Source organism: Homo sapiens, chromosome 1, assembly GCF_000001405.40.
Source record: "Homo sapiens chromosome 1, GRCh38.p14 Primary Assembly".
Classification (NCBI taxonomy): domain Eukaryota; kingdom Metazoa; phylum Chordata; class Mammalia; order Primates; family Hominidae; genus Homo; species Homo sapiens.
The window spans coordinates 206,616,233-206,632,285 of NC_000001.11; the positions used below are offsets into that span (position 1 = coordinate 206,616,233).

The following is a 16,053-nucleotide window of genomic DNA, read 5'->3' on the forward strand; positions in this document are numbered from 1 at the left end:
GAGGGTGAGGCACGAGAATTGCTTGAACCCAGAGGTGGAGGTTGCAGTGAGCTGAGATTGTGCCACTGCACTCTAGCCTGGGCGATAGAGTGAGACTCAGTCTGAAAGAAAGGAGAGAGAAGAGAGAAGTGAGAGAGAACATGAAGGAATCTTAAATGTGTATTATTATATTAAGTGAAAGAAGCCAATCTGAAAAAGATCATACTGATAGTATGTAAGTGATGGTTCCAACTATATAACATTCTGGAAAAGGCAAAACTTTGGAGATAATAAAGAGATCTGTGGGGGAGGGAAAGATGAACAGGTAGAGCACATGTTGGGAGAAAAGCTGAGTGTTGGGAGAGCAGCTGAGGCAGGGCTTCCATGTCTGCTAGACTTGCTGGCTCCTTGCTTCTAGCACACCCATTATTTCAAGCAGCCATTCACTTGATACACTGTTTCCTGTCAACCCCCACATCTTCACCACCTGTTTGTTTGTTTGAGCACCAATAAGCAGCCATGGACGCCCAGAAATCGGGGCCTTGGCAGCCTCCACACTCACGATGGTCCCCTGGTCCCACTTTCTCTCTCAAACTGTCTTTTTCTCATTCTTTTGACTCTGCTGGACTTCGTCGCCCCCACGACCTGGTGTTGGGTCTGATCACCCCAACAACATTCTGGAAAAGGCAAAACTATGGAGATAGTAAAGAGATCCGTGGGGGAGGGAAAGATGAACAGGTAGAGCACAGAGGATTTTAGGGCAGTGAAATGCTTCTGTATGACACTACAGTAGTGGGTACATGTCATTATACATTTGTCCAGACCCACAGAATGTACGACACCTAATGAACCATAATGTAAACTATGAACTTGCAGTGATAATGATATGTCAATATAGGCTCATTGATTATAATACGCAAATAAATAAGCCTTGATTCATAACTCACAGCCTATTCACATACAAACTCAAAACAGATTGTAGACCTGAATAGAAAACAAACCATAAAACTTCTAAAAGAAAACATACGAGAACACCTTTGTGACCTTGTGTTACACAAAGATTTTTTAGATATGACACAGTAAACATGACCCATTAAAATAAATAATAACAATTTGGACTTCATAAAAATGAATAAATTTTGCTCTTCAAAAGACAGGTTAAGATCTTGAAAATTCCAGCCAGGCACAGTGGCTCACGCCTGTAATCCCAGCACTTTGAGAGGCCAAGGCAGGCGGATCACTTGAGGTCAGTAGTTTGAGACCAGCCTGGCCCATACAGTCAAACCCTGTTTCTACTAAAAATACAAAAATTAGTTGGGTGTGGTAGCAAGTGCCTGTAATCCCAGCTACTTGGGAGGCTGAGGCACAAGAATCACCTGAACCCAGGAGACAGAGGTTACAGTGAGCCGAGATGGCACCACTGCACTGCAACCTGAGCGACAGAGCCAGACTCCATCTCAAAAAAAAAAAATCTGGAAAATTGCAAAATAAGTAAATTTTAAGTGTTCTCATCATAAAAAAGTATGTGAAGTAATACATATGTTAATCAGTTCAATTTAGCCATTTCACAATTTATATGTTTAAAAACAATATGTTGTAGATGATAAATGTACATTTAAAAAATACAAAAAAAATACAATTTTTATTTGTCAAATAAATAATATTTTGGCGATGCATGGTGGCTCATGCCTAAAATCCCAGCACTTTAGAAGGCTGAGGTAGGAAGATCACTTGAGCCTGGGAGTTTAAGACCAGCCCAGTCAACATAGCCAGACCTTGTCTCTACTAAAAATAATTTTTTTTAAATTAGTCAGTTGTGGCCGGTCGCGGTGGCTCACACCTGTAATCCCAGCACTTTGGGAGGCCGAGGCACGTGGATCGCCTGAGGTCAGCAGTTTGAGACCAGCCTGGCCAACATGGTGAAACCCTGTCTCTGCTAAAAATACAAAAACTAGCCAGGTGTAGTGGCGGGCGCCTGTAATCCCAGCTACTCGGGAGGCTGAGGCAGGAGAATTGCTTGAACCTGGGAGGTGGAGGTTGCAGTGAGCCGAGATAGCACCACTGCACTCCAGCCTGAGCAAAAGAGCGAGACTCCATCTCAAAAAAAAAAAAAAAAATTAGTCAATTGCATAGAAACAAGCGGATCCAGGAAAAAAAAAAAAACAATTAGTTGAGTGTGGTGATGTGTGCCTGTACAAGTCCTAGCTACATAGGAGGCAGAGGCAGGAGGCTTGCTTGAGCCTAGGAGTTTGAGGTTGCAGTAACTATGATTGCACCACTGTACTCCAGCCTGGGTGACAGAGCTAGACCCCATCTTTAAAAAAAAAAAAGTGTGTGTATATAAGTGTGTGTGTATATATATGACATATATGTGTGTGTGTATGTGTATATATATGACATATGTGTATATATGTATATATATGTATTTATATACACATATGTGTGTGTATATATATATATGACATGTTAAGAAAATGAAAAGATTAGCCATGGACTGGGTAAAAAGATTTATATCTGTAATATATAAAAACCTGTCAAAACTTAATAATAAGGAAACAACCCAATAAAAATTGGACAAAAGATTTGAACAGGAACTTCACCAAAGAAACTAGATGAATGACAATTAGGCACATGAAAAGATTATCAACATCATTAATCATTAGGAAAATGCAAATTAAACACAATGAAATATCATACACATTTATTAGAATGGTTGAAACAAAACCAAAGGCCAGGCATGGTGGCTCATGCCTATAATCTCAGCACTTTGAGAGGCTGAGATGGGCAGATCACTTGAGGTCAGGAGTTTGAGACCAGCCTGGCCAACATGGGAAACCCTGTCTCTACTAAAAATATATATATATTAAAAAAACAACAAAAAAAGCAGGGTGTGGTGGCGGGTGCCTGTAATCCCAGCTACTCGGGAGGCTGAGGCAGAAGAATCCCTTGAACCCAGGAGGCAGAGGTTGTAGTGAGCCAAGATCGTGCCATTGCACTCCAGCCTGGGTGACAGTGAGACTCCGTTTCAAAAAAAAAAAAAAAAATTGACAATGTTAAGTTGTGGCAAGGATGTGGAGCAACTGGAACTCTTAGGCATTGCTGGTGGGAATGCAAAATGATAAATAACTTTGGAAAACGGCCAGGTGCCATGGCTTGTACCTGTAATCCTAGCATTTTGGGAGGCCAAGGTGAGTGGATCGCTTGAACCCAGGAGTTCAAGACCAGCCTGGGCAAAATGGTGAAACCCTGTCTCTAAAAAACTAACAAAAAATTAGCCAAGGAAGGGGTAAGGGGGTGGCTGAGGTGGGAGGATCGCTTGAGCTCAGGAGGCAGAGGTTGAAGTGAGCCGAGATCCCACCACTGCACTCCAACCTGGGTGACAGAGTGAGACCTTGTCTCAAAAAAAGAAAAAAAAAAAAGGCCGGGCGCGGTGGCTCACACCTATAATCCCAGCACTTTGGGAGGCTGAGGCAGGTGGATCACGAGGTCAGGAGATCGAGACCATCCTGGCTAACAAGGTGAAACCTCGTCTCAACTAAAAATAGAAAAAATTAGCAGGGTGTGGTGGCAGGCACCTGTAGTCCCAGCTACTCAGGAGGCTGAGGCAGGAGAATGGCGGGAACCCGGGAGGCGGAGCTTGCAGTGAGCTGAGATGGCGCCACTGTACTCCAGCCTGGCCGACAGAGCAAGACTCCGTCTCAAAAAAAAAATAATAAAAAAAAAAAAAGGGAGAAAACTTGTGTTCATACAAATCTGGACATAAATGATGATCAGAGGCTTTTTCATAATTGCCAAACCCTAGAAACAATTCAAATTTCAAATGTCATATATACAGGACAAAGATCTAACAAAAAAGGATAGTGTCACTGTGCTTTCGGGTTAACCAGTCCTTTGCTGGTGAATTGAATGGGGGAAAGGGGAACTCTGACTTAGAGTGCTTACCCATTTCTGCATTGTAAATACTCCTACCATGGCCTATTTCAAGTTAGGTTTAACAAACCGCAGCTTACAAAATTCTTGAATATTTAACAATCAGCTTGACCAAGTTATATAATCTCTCTGAGCCTCAGTTTTTTGTAAAATATTAATGGATAAAACTGCCTGGCCGGGCATGGTGGCTCACACCTACCTGTAACCTCGGCACTTTGGGAGGCCAAGGCAAGAGGATCATTTGAGCTCAGGAGTTCCAGGCTAGCCTGGGCAACATGGTGAAACCCTGTCTCTAAAAATATACCAAAAAATTAGCTGAGTGTGATGACATGAACCTGTAGTCCCAGCTACTCGGGAAGCTGAGGCAGGATAATTGCTTGAGCCCAGGAGGTTGAGGCTGTAGTGAGCTGACATAGCGACACCACACTCCAGCCTGGGCAACAGAGTGAGGCCCTGTTTCAAACAAAACAAAACTGTCTAACTTCATCGTAGTGAGGATTAAATGGAATAATATGCATCAAACTCTTAGCACAGGGTCTAGCAAATAGTAAACACTCAAAGGGTAGCTATTATTATATTGATTGCTTAGGCCTTAATATAGAGTACTCAGCTGCTTAAAGCAGAGGAAAAACAAGCAAAATCATACAACCAGTGTCCAAAGTCTGCAGCACATGAAATAGAACACTATAAAGGATCATCATGATAGTGATCGGTTGGAGGTTCTGAGCAATTTTCCCACGTTAAGCTTCTCCAAGTCCTGAGGTAAGGGGGGAAACAGAAAGGCTTCCAACCATAATGATGGATTCTGGCTTTCTAGTCAATTCCCCTTGTTCACTTGCATTGGGAGACAAGAAAGAAAAACTTTTGAGAATACATGGCCAATAAGAGTGGAAGAGGCTCTGAAATCAGGGAATCATTTGTTATTGCTGTATACAGATGTGTAGCTGTTATGCATTATTCCCAGGTTCAAGATCCTTAAACCTTAAAAAAGGTTACCATTGTGGCAATTTAAAGTGTGCTCCTATTTCATTTAATCTGGAATCCCGAGACTCGTTCTGTTTTCACCCACATGTCAGCCACAGTGCTTGGTCATAGTTGCTTCACAAACGCGTGTGGACTTGAATCCCACATTAGAGCTCAAAGGTTCCTCAAGAGCTTCTAATCCCAGGATGGCAAATAAGCTTTATGTGCCATGTCAACTCTCCCAGGTTGGTACCAGCTGACTAGGGAGCCATGCTGAGGATTCTGAAGCCAAATCTGAGGAGCTGAGAAAAGAAGGCTGTAATTAAAGGGCATGGTGTCTTCTCAGCCCCAGAAGGGAAAGTGGTGATGCCTAGGCTGTTTGTTGCCAATGCTACCCTAATCCCACCCTTCATTTACAGCAGAACAACCTGCAAGCCAAAAGTAGAGACCCAGGATAAAAAATAAAAATATTCTGAAAACTTTTAGGTAAAGTCATGGATAACAAAGCTTTCGTGGGTCATTGTGGGAAAAGTAGCATTTTCTTTCTCTAAACTTTGAGGTCAGACCATAATCTTCTAAAGTATCTTTTAGAAGTATTCCTTGGGTGCTGGGTGCGGAGACTCACACCTGTAATTCCAGCACTTTGGGAGGCCGAGGTAGGAGGATCACCTGAGGTCAGGAGTTCTAGACCAGCCTGGCCAACATGGCAAAACTTCTGTCTCTACTAAAAATACAAAAATTAGCTGGGCATGGTAGCGCATGTCTGTTAAAAAAAAAAAAATGTATTCCTTGGGGCCTCGCTGAAAAAATGAACATGGAGGAGAGAGGTGGGTGGACAACAATTATCCTACTGCTCTTATTGCTAATCTTATTAGTTCTAGAGCCACACCTAGGGCTGCTTCCCACTCAGCTCTGACCACCACACCTCATTCTCCTTCCCTGTCCGTCTTTCCCTAGAGGGTCTTAATCCAGTGGTTCTCAAAATGTCGTTTCTAGAGCCACAGTGACATCAGCTAGGATTTTGTCAGAAAAACAAATTCTCAGATACTACCCTATATCTACAAAATAAGGAATTTTTTTTGTTTGTTTTTTGTTTGTTTTTGTTTTTGTTTTGAGATGGAATCTCGCTTTGTCGCCTAGGGTAGAGTACAGCTGTGCGATCTTGGCTTACTGCAATCTCGGCCTTCCAGGTTCAAGTGATTCTCCTGCCTCAGCCTCCCAAGTAGCAGGGATTACAGGCACTCGCCACCACAACCGGCTAATTTTTGTATTTTTAGTAGAGACACGGTTTGGCCGTGTTGGCCAGGCTGGTCTCAAACTCCTGACCTCAAGTAATCCACCCGCCTTGGCCTCCCAAAGTGCTGGGGTAACAGGGTGAGCCACTGTACCTGGCCCTGTGCTTGTTTCAATAATAGCTTTATTGAGATATAGTTCATTGCCCTACAACTCACCCATTTAAAGTGGACAATTCAGTAGCTCTTAGAATATTCACAAAGTTGCACAACCATCACCACAATCAACATTTTAGAACATTTTCATCACCCTCAAAAGAAACCCTGTACCCATTAGCAGTCACTCCTCGATTTTCCTCAGCTGCTCAGTCCTAGACAACCACTGATTGACTTTCTGTCCCTATTGATTTGCCTTTTCTGGACATTTCATATAAATAGAATTATACAATGCATGGCCGTTTGTGACTGGTTTCTTTCATTTAGTTCACTGTTTTCACAGCTTATACATGTTGAGCCTTGTATGTACGTGTGTCAGTACTTCATTTCTTTTCATTGCTAAAGAATATTCCATTGTATGTGTATATGACATTTTGTTTGCCCATTAGTCAGCTGATAGACATTTGGGTTTGTAGCCACTTTGGGGCTACGAATGATGCTATGAACATTCATATACAAGTTTTTCTGTGAACACATTTTTATTTCTTTGGGGCATATACATAGGAGTGAAATTGTTGGGTCATATGGTAACTCTATATTTAACATTTTGAGGAACTGCCAGAATGTTTCCCAGGTTGTCTCATATTGTTTTTGATATTACGGTGTCTCATATTGGTTTTGATTTGCATTGCCTGATGGCCAATGACGTTGAGCATATCTTCATGTGTTCATTGTCCATTTTTATATCTTCTTTGGAGAAATGCCTATTTAGATTCTTTGCCCATTTTTAAATTGGGTTATTTGTCTTATTATTGAGTTGTAAGAGTTCTTTATTCTAGTTACAAGTCCTTTATCAAACATATGATTTGCAAAAATTTTCTCCCATTATGTGGATTGTCTTGGTATTTTCTTGATGGTATCCTTTGAAGGACAAAAGTTTAAAATTTTGATGTATTCTAATATACATTTTGTTTTTGTTGTTCATAGTTACTTGTGCTTTTGGTGTCATGTCTAAAAAACCACTATGTAATTCAAGGTGATGAAGATTTACGTCTATGTTTTTTTCTAGGAGTTTTATACTTTTTGCACTTACTTTTAGGTTTTTTATCTATTTTGAGTTACTTTTTGTAAACAGTGTGAGGTAGGGAGTCAAACTTTATACTTTTGATATAGATATCAAGTTGTCCCAGAACCATTTGTTGAAAAGACTACTTGTTTCCCCATTGAATTGTCTTGGTAGTCTTGTCAAAAATCAATTTGCTGGCTGGGCATAGTGGCTCACATCTGTAATCCCAGCACTTTGGGAGGCTGAGGCAGGTGGATCACTTGAGGCCAAGAGTTTGAGACCAGCCTGTCTGATATGGTTTGGCTCTGTGTCCCCACCCAAATCTCACCTTGAATTGTAATAATCCCCACATGTCAAGTGGGGGACCAGGTGAAGATAATCGAATCATGGGGGCAGGTCCCCCCCCCACCACCCCATGCTGTTCTCTTGATAGTGAGTGAGTTCTCAAGAGATCTGATGGTTTTATAAGGGGCTTCCCCTTTTGCTCGGCACTCATTTTCTCTCCTGCCGCCCTGTGAAGAGGTGCATTCTGCCATGATTGTAAGCTTCCTGAGGCCTCCCAAGCCATGCAGAACTGTGAGTCAATTAAACATCTTTTCCTTATAAATTACCCAGTCTCAGGTACTTCTTCATAGCAACATGAGAATGGTTTAATACACTGGCCAACATAGTGAAACCCCCTCTCTACTAAAAATACAAAGATTAGCCAGGTGTGGTAGCATGCACCTGTAATCCCAGCTACTTGGGGGACTGAGGCATGAAAATCATTTGAACCCAGGAGGTGGAAGTTGCAGTGAGCTGAAATCGCACCACTGCACTCCAGCCTGGGCAACAGAGCAAGATTCTGTCTCAAAAAAAAAATCAATTATCCATAAATGTGAGGCTTTATTTCTGGATTCTCAGTTTTATTCTACTGATCTTATGCCAGTACCAAGTGTTTTGATTACTATAGCTTTGCAGTAAGTTTTGATATCAGAAAGTGTGATTCTTCCAACTTTGGTCTCGTTTTTAAGACTGTTTTGGTTATTCTTGGTCCCTTGAATTTCTGTATGAATTTTAGGATCAGCTTGTCAATTTCTGTAAAGAAGAAAACTGAGATTTTGATACAGATTGCATTGAATCTGTAGATCAATTTGGCAAATACTGCCCCCTTAGCAATATTAAATCTTTCAATCCCTGAACATGGCCTCTCTTTCCATTTATTTAGATATCCTTTAATATATTTCAATGATGTACTTTTTAGTTATTTTCTTAAATTTATTTCTAAGTATTTTCCTTATTATGCCATTATAAAATGAACTGTTTTCTTTATTTTATTTTCAGATTGTTCATGCATGCATATAGAAATACAATTGATTGGCCAGGCGTGGTGGCTCATGCCTGTAATCCCAGCACTTCCGGAGACCGAGGCGGGCGGATCACGAGGTCAGGAGATCGAGACCATCCTGGCTAACATGGTGAAACCCCGTCTCTATTAAAAATACAAAAAATTAGATGGGTGTGGTGGCGGGCACCTGTAGTCCCAGCTGCTCGGGAGGCTGAGGCAGAAGAATGGCGTGAACCCGGGAGGCAGAGCTTGCAGTGAGCCGAGATCCGGCCACTGCACTCCAGCCTGGGCGACAGAGCAAGACTCCATCTCAAAAAAAAAAAAGAAAAGAAAAGAGAGAAAGAAAGAAATACAATTGATCTTTGTGTATTGATCTTGCGTCCTACAGCCTTGCTGAACTCATTTATTAGGTCTAATATGTTTCAGTGGATTCCTTAGGATTTTCTGCAAGTATAGATACAATGTGACAGATACAAGATTATGTCATCTGCAAAAGCAGTGCACTTTAAGAAGTCTTCCAGGTGATTCTTATGCAAGTCAAAGTTTGAGAAACATCACATTAATCTCATTTCTTGCTAAAGTTCCAGCGAAACTAGACTCCCATTGAATCTCTTTCCTGTTTCACTTTGATACTGTAAGCATGTGGGCTTTAGTGTAGAAGCAGTAAAGTGTGGTATGATAGCATAGGAGGGCTAGGAAATATAAATAGCAATATATTGGCAGCTGTGACTTTTCCAACTACTATTCCTTTAATTTTTCAAAACTGCTGCCTTAGTACCATACTTTCACTGTTAGAAGACAAGAGGGCCAAAAAGGTCATAGGTAAAATTTAGGGATATAAGAATTTAAGTAGTATACAAGATGGTTGAACAATTCCAACTCTTAGGTATTTATCTGTAGTGGGTTGAATAGTGTCTCTCCAAAATTCACGTCCACCTAGAATCTCAGAATGTGACCTTATTTGGAAACAGAGTCTTTGCAGACATCATAGTTAAGCTAAGATGAGGTCAAACAGGATTAGGGTAGGCCCTAAATCCAATGACTATTGTCCTTATAAAAGGAGGAGAGGACACACGGAGACAGAGACAGAAGAACGAAGAGCCTGTGACAAAGGAGGCAGAAACCAAAGTGACGTATCTGCACGCTAAATAATGTCAAGGATTGCCAGCAGCCACCAGAAGCTGTGAGAGAGGCATGGAAGATTCTCAGAGTCTCCAGAAGGAAACAGCTTTGCCAACACCTTGACTTTAGACTTCTGGCCTATTGAAGGAAAGGCCATGTGAGCTCACACGGAGAAGGCACCCATCTGCAAACCAGAAGTGGGCCCTCACCAGGACCCAACCATGCTGGCACCCTGATCTCGAACTTCTAGCCTCCAGAACTGTGAAAGAATAAATGTCTCTTGTTTAAACCACCCAGTCTATGTTATTTTTGTTGTGGTAGCCTGAACTGACTAATATATACATGCTGTATAATTTCATTTATATGAGGTTCAAGAACAAGCAAAACTAATCTATGATGGTTATCTCTGGGATGAGATAATTAACTGGAGAGGGGCACAAGGGAACTCTCTAGAGTTATGGAAATATTCTATATCTTGATTTAGTGTATGTTGCACAGGGGTACACATTTGCTGAAACTCATCACAAATGCATTTAAGAGCCATGCATTCATATACACTATGGAATACTATGCAGCCATAAAAAAGAATGAGTTCATGTCCTTTGTAGGGACATGGATGAAGCTGGAAACCATCATTCTCAGCAAACTATCATAAGGACAAAAAACCAAACACCACATGTTCTCTTTCATAGGTGGGAATTGAACAATGAGAACACTTGGACACAGGAATGGGAACATCACACACCGGGCCTGTCGTGGGGTGGAGGGAGGGGAAGGGATAGCATTAGGAGATAAACCTAATGTAAATGATGAGTTAATGGGTGCAGCACACCAACATGGCACATGTATACATATGTAACAAACCTGCACGTTGTGCACATGTACGCTAGAACTTAAAGTATAATATATAATAATAAAAATAAATAAATAAAGTAGCACATTGGCAAACCCCCACCCCCCCCCAAAAAAAGAGCTGTGCGTTTTGCTGGGTATAAAATTTACCTTAAAAATTAGTCAATAAAAAATTCAAAAATTAAAAAAAAGAATTAGGGAATAAGATTATATGCACTTGAGTAGGTGTGAGGTTATATAAGTTTGTAAGAGGGAAAGAGGAAAAGTTACTTAGGATGATTTTTCTAAGATTAGGTTTCAAGTCTAATTTAAGGAATTACAGCTGAAGATTTTATGCCTTCCATGTAGTATTAAGATTTAACAAATAAAAACATGAAGTGCTCAGTTAAATTTGAATTTCAGATAAACATCAAATCAGTTTTTAGGATATTATATTCCAAATATTACAGGGGACACACTTATACTAAAAATTAAACATTATTTATCTGAGATGTAAATTCAGCTGGGCATTCTGTATTTTTCCTGGCAACCCAAATACACATATCCTGGTCATACAGTGGGGATATGCTGAGCTTGTGAGGTCCAGCCCAAGAAAGGCAGGTAGAGCCAAAAATGAGAGGACTATTTAGGAAAAGTGGATGGAAGCTGTTAAGTTCCCGTAAAAGGTACAGATTCAATGACTGTGAGCTGAGAACGTGATTCTTTGTGAGTGAAAAACAAAGACAGGCAGGAGAAAGGCGGGGCCTCCGTGGAGACCATGGGGTGTGAATGAGGATCTGGTTCCTTCTGTACACCTAGCAAAGGGCCTTGCCTATAAAAGACATTTGTTAAATACAATCTGTTTGATTTTGTTGCACACATCTGGAGGAAAAGAAGCTGAAACTGTGGTTTTTGGATCACTTCAATATTGATGGTATTTCTTAAGAAGTTCTGGTAGTCTACAGGTAAAGCTATTTGGTTTTTTTGTTTTGTTTCTTTTATTTCTGAGACGGAGTCTCACTCTGTCACCCAGGCTGGAGTGCAGTGGCGTGATCTCAGTTCACCACAACCTCTGCCCCCCAGGTTCAAGCAGTTCTCCTGCCTCAGTCTCCCAAGTAGCTGGGATTACAGGTGTGTGCCACCATGCCCAGCTAATTTTTTTTTTTTTTTTAGTAAAGATGGGGTTTCACTATGTTGGCCAGGCTGGTCTCGAACTCCTGACCTTGTGATCTGCCCGCCTCGGCCTCCCAAAGTGCTGGGATTATAGGCATAAGCCACCTTGTCTGGCCCAGCTATTTGTTTAATCAAAGACTGTATGAGTATAGGCAATGCCTTGCAGTCCCATTGTTCTTTTAGAGGCTGGATTTTAAAAAGTCAGATTTCCTTTCCAGCTCTCTCCAGTTCCTAGGGCTATGACACCTCTGCGGAAAGATGATATGAGGACATATTGCTCTTACTCCAGTGGACCTTTCTTGAACTTTGTTTCGATATTATTAAGGAGCACAAACTGGATAAAAATAGAGTTCTTTAAAGGTGTCTCCCTCATTGAAAACCGTGATTTCCTAATTCAGTAGTGCTATCTGTGTCTCAGGAGAGCAGTACTGAGACCCTGAAGATGGTGAAAAGGAGCCTGGAACCTGGAGGCCACTGAGTTTTACAGGATTCTGGAAATCCTGATCTCAATACAAAGCTAGAATACAGAAAGACATCCTCTCAAATCTCTTTACCTTAAAGCATAATTTAAAAAATTGTATTGGTATCAACTATTAAAACGATCACACACACACAAGAAGAAGAGGAAGAAAGAAGAAAAAGAAGAGGAAGAAAGAAGAAGAAGAAGAAGAAGTAGGAGAAGGAGAAGAAGGAGAAGAAGAAGAAGAAAGGAGAAGAAGAAAGAAGAAGAAAGAAGAAGAAGAAAGAAGAAAGTAGTCAGCGCATCAGAGGAGAGAGCAGCTCCTGGAACTCCCGACAATAGAGAAAGCCAAGGAGGGCCTGGGAATCTTGAAGGAAAGAGGCTGGTTTTCAGGGCCCAGTGGAGACATATTTCCTGATCTCTGCAGTTCCTGCAGGGGTCTCAGCCTAGGAAGGCTGTGTGTGTTTCCAGGCTTCCAGGACAAGAGCAGGCTTTTCTCTTAAATAGCAAGCAAGTAAGCAGCAAGCAAACAAACAAAAGTGAAGGCTTTCTCAAGCCAAGGTGACCAGCAAGTAGAATGTTGGGAAAGTAGGACAAATAAAGACAGAGATGTCCATGTACTGCGGAATAATTTCTAAAATGCTGCTGACATCAGCATCCTTGCTGAGAGCCACTAGTGTCTGGCATGGGGAATATGAAGATTATTAATAAATAATCAAGGATTGAGACAGACCCATGCATATATCATTCTAATCAATGCCCATGGAAACACCTGAATTTTCCTCCAACCCAGATATTTGCTCATCATTATTAGAGAAGGGGCTGAGCTGGGCAGAGGAAAGGGCAGAGAGGAGGACCTCCAGCTTGAGACTCCCCAATCCTGCGGACAGCTGGACCTACCCTGCTTTGAGACAGTATAGGGATCATAAGGATTTTTTGGAATTTCTTTGGGGAGCCTTACCCTTATCCCCCAACTGTTCCCACTAGGTGCTCAACCAAGCATTTCTTCCAGGCACATATGGTTGTCTCCATGAATGTAATCTAAATAAAAACAATATTCTCCTACTTCTTACATTTCCAGCTTAGTTTTAACAACCCTAGTGGATTAGCTTCCTAGGCACAAGTTTGACTGGAACACCCCCAATCCGGCTTTTATTAAAGTACAGACAGGTGAATGAAATTTGAGGATTAGGAACACAGAGGCATGGTGGTAGGGCCCCTAGCTGCTGAGCTGTAATTATCATGCATGGAAGTACTTCATGAATTGTTTTATAGAGCTTGGGGGCCATTTTTGAGGCAGAGGGGAACCTGTCTTCCATCATTTGGGTGACTTGGTAAGATGCATTTCAAAGTCTGGTGTCCAGGCTTTTGAGACTTGGGAATTTTAAAGACTTCCAGTAGCCTGGTGACCCTGATGTGGACTTTCAGAACACAGATAAAGCTGATTTCCAACACCTAGCTGTAGTGAATATCTGTTGTGTTTGCTGTACCATATTCACTTATCTCTTTTTTGGGACCCGCTATAGCAACTTTCCTCTGAAAGTCACTGTTTTCCTAACTTTCTGTCCAATATGTTTCTACTGCTGTGTCTAGGAGCCTCAGGCCTGACCAGTCAGAGTATTACATTTTCCTGGCTGCATATTTGGTTTAAGAATGGGCCCAGTGAAAGCCAGTGAATTACAGTGAGACTGTGGGATGACTGAGACAGCTTTTCTACTGAGTTGAACTTGGAACTGCAGTTGCCATCTTGCTTGCACAAAAGAACCCTGAGAATGAAACTAGCATGTTGGAATATAGAAACAAGAAATGGAGATAGGACAGGCACCCATCATATTCAAATTTAGCTTTACTGCTTTTAAAAAAATACTGTAAAAAAGGTATATGGTACATTTTCTTTTCTTTTTTCCTTGTTTTCTTTTTCTTTTTTTTTTTTTTTTTTTTTTTGAGACAGTTTTGCTCTTGTTACCCAGGCTGGAGTACAATGGCACAATCTCTGGTCACTGTAACCTCCACCTCCTGGGTTCAAGCCATTATCCAGCCTCAGCCTCCCAAGTAGCTGGGATTACAGGTGCCCGCCACCACACCTGGTTAATTTTTGTATTTTTAGTAGAGATGAGGTTTCACCATGTCGGCCAGGCTGGTCTCGAACTCCTGACCTCAGGTGATCCACCTGCCTCAGCCTCCCAAAGTCCTGGGATTACAGGCGTGAGCCACCGCACTCGGCTAGTACATTTTCTTTAAACAGATTTAGTTTGATATTTGCAATAGAAAAAGCCCTAACCTGTACACTAGGTGATTGAGAGAGAACTAGTTCCTTGGCCCAAATGCTGTGAATAGAGCAGGTGCATTGGTCTTCTAAGACCTTCCATGAGCCAGATGACTCAATAGGACTTGGTCTCCAAGGTCTACAGTAGTGATTTCCAAACCTGGCTGATGAACAACAGCCACAATAAAAATATGAGCAGAGATCCTTACCAAGAAACTGTTCATCATTAGATCTGGTGGGATGGAGGGTAGGCATAATTGGTATTTTTCAAAAGTACCCCTATCATTTATTTATTGCCATACCCCAAAGCTTAGTGGCTTAAAGTAATCATTTTATTTGCTCATAATTCTCAAGGGGCTGTTGATTTGGGTGGGGTGCAGCCAAGAGGTTCTTCTGCTAGCTTTACGTGGAACTCTCATATGGCTGCTGTCAGCTGGCAACTCAGCCAGGTGGCTTCCCTCACTTGTCTGGCAATTGGTATTAGCTGAGGACTACAGAAATCCAGCTCAGACTTGTCCACATGGTGGCAGCATCTAAGAGCAAGAGAGAAGAAGCTGTAAGGGGGGTCTCCTGAGGCCTAAGCGCCTAAATTCCTCACGTGTTATTGGTCAAATCAAGTCACGTGGCCAGTCAGCTTCAAGAACCAGGAAAATTGTTTCCTCTACTCCCTGGGAACAGCTGCAAAGGATGTGCTATGTTTAATCTATTACAGTACCCAAGGTTCCTAAGCTTTAATGCAACAAATTACAAATTTAGTGGCTTGAAACAAGGAAAATTTATTATCTTACAGTTCTGGAAGTCAGAACTCCTAAAATTGAGGTGTAAGCAGAGATTCGTTCCTTCTGGAAGCTCTAGAAGAAAATTTGTTTCCCTGCCTTTTCCAGCTTCTAGAGGCCACCTTCATTCCTTAACTCACGGCCCCCTCCTCCATCTTCAAGACCAACAACAGCATCTTCAAATCTCTTTCCCTCTCTGACCTCTGTTCCATGGTCACATTTCCCTCTCTGACCCTCCTGCTTTCCCCTTCCATCCTTTTTTTTTAGATGGAGTCTCACTCTGTCACCCAGGCTGGAGTGCAGTGGCGTGATCTCTGCTCACTGCAACCTCAGCCTCCTGGGTTCAAGTGATTCTCCTGCCTCAGCCTCCCGAGTAGTTGGGACTACAGGCACACACCACCATGCCCAGCTAATTTTTGTGTTTTTAGTAGAGACGGGGTTTCACCATGTTGGCCAGGGTGGTCTCGAACTCCTGACCTCAGGTGATCCGCCCACTTCGGCCTCCCAAAGTGCTGGGATTACAGGCATGAGTTACTGCACCTGGCCTCCCCTTCCATCTTAAAAGGACTCCTGTGATTACAGTGGGCCCACTCAGATAATCTAGGAAAATCACCCCATCTCAAGATCCTTAACTTCATCACATTTGCTAAGTCCCTTTTTGTCAAGTAAAGTGACATATTTACAGATTCTTGGAATTAGGATGCGGACATCTTTGGGGAACTATCATTCTGCTTACCATCTTCAGAATCTTAAATCAAGAGAAACTATGTCA

The 16,053-nt window shown here is 41.9% G+C and overlaps 1 annotated feature.

Moving 5' to 3' along the window:
- Nucleotides 15,090-15,159: an enhancer, noted in NCBI's record as "active region_2411". NCBI's record gives its function as "activates an Ori minimal core promoter by ATAC-STARR-seq in GM12878 lymphoblastoid cells {active_cell/tissue: GM12878}" and the evidence as "EXISTENCE:reporter gene assay evidence [ECO:0000049][PMID:35858748]".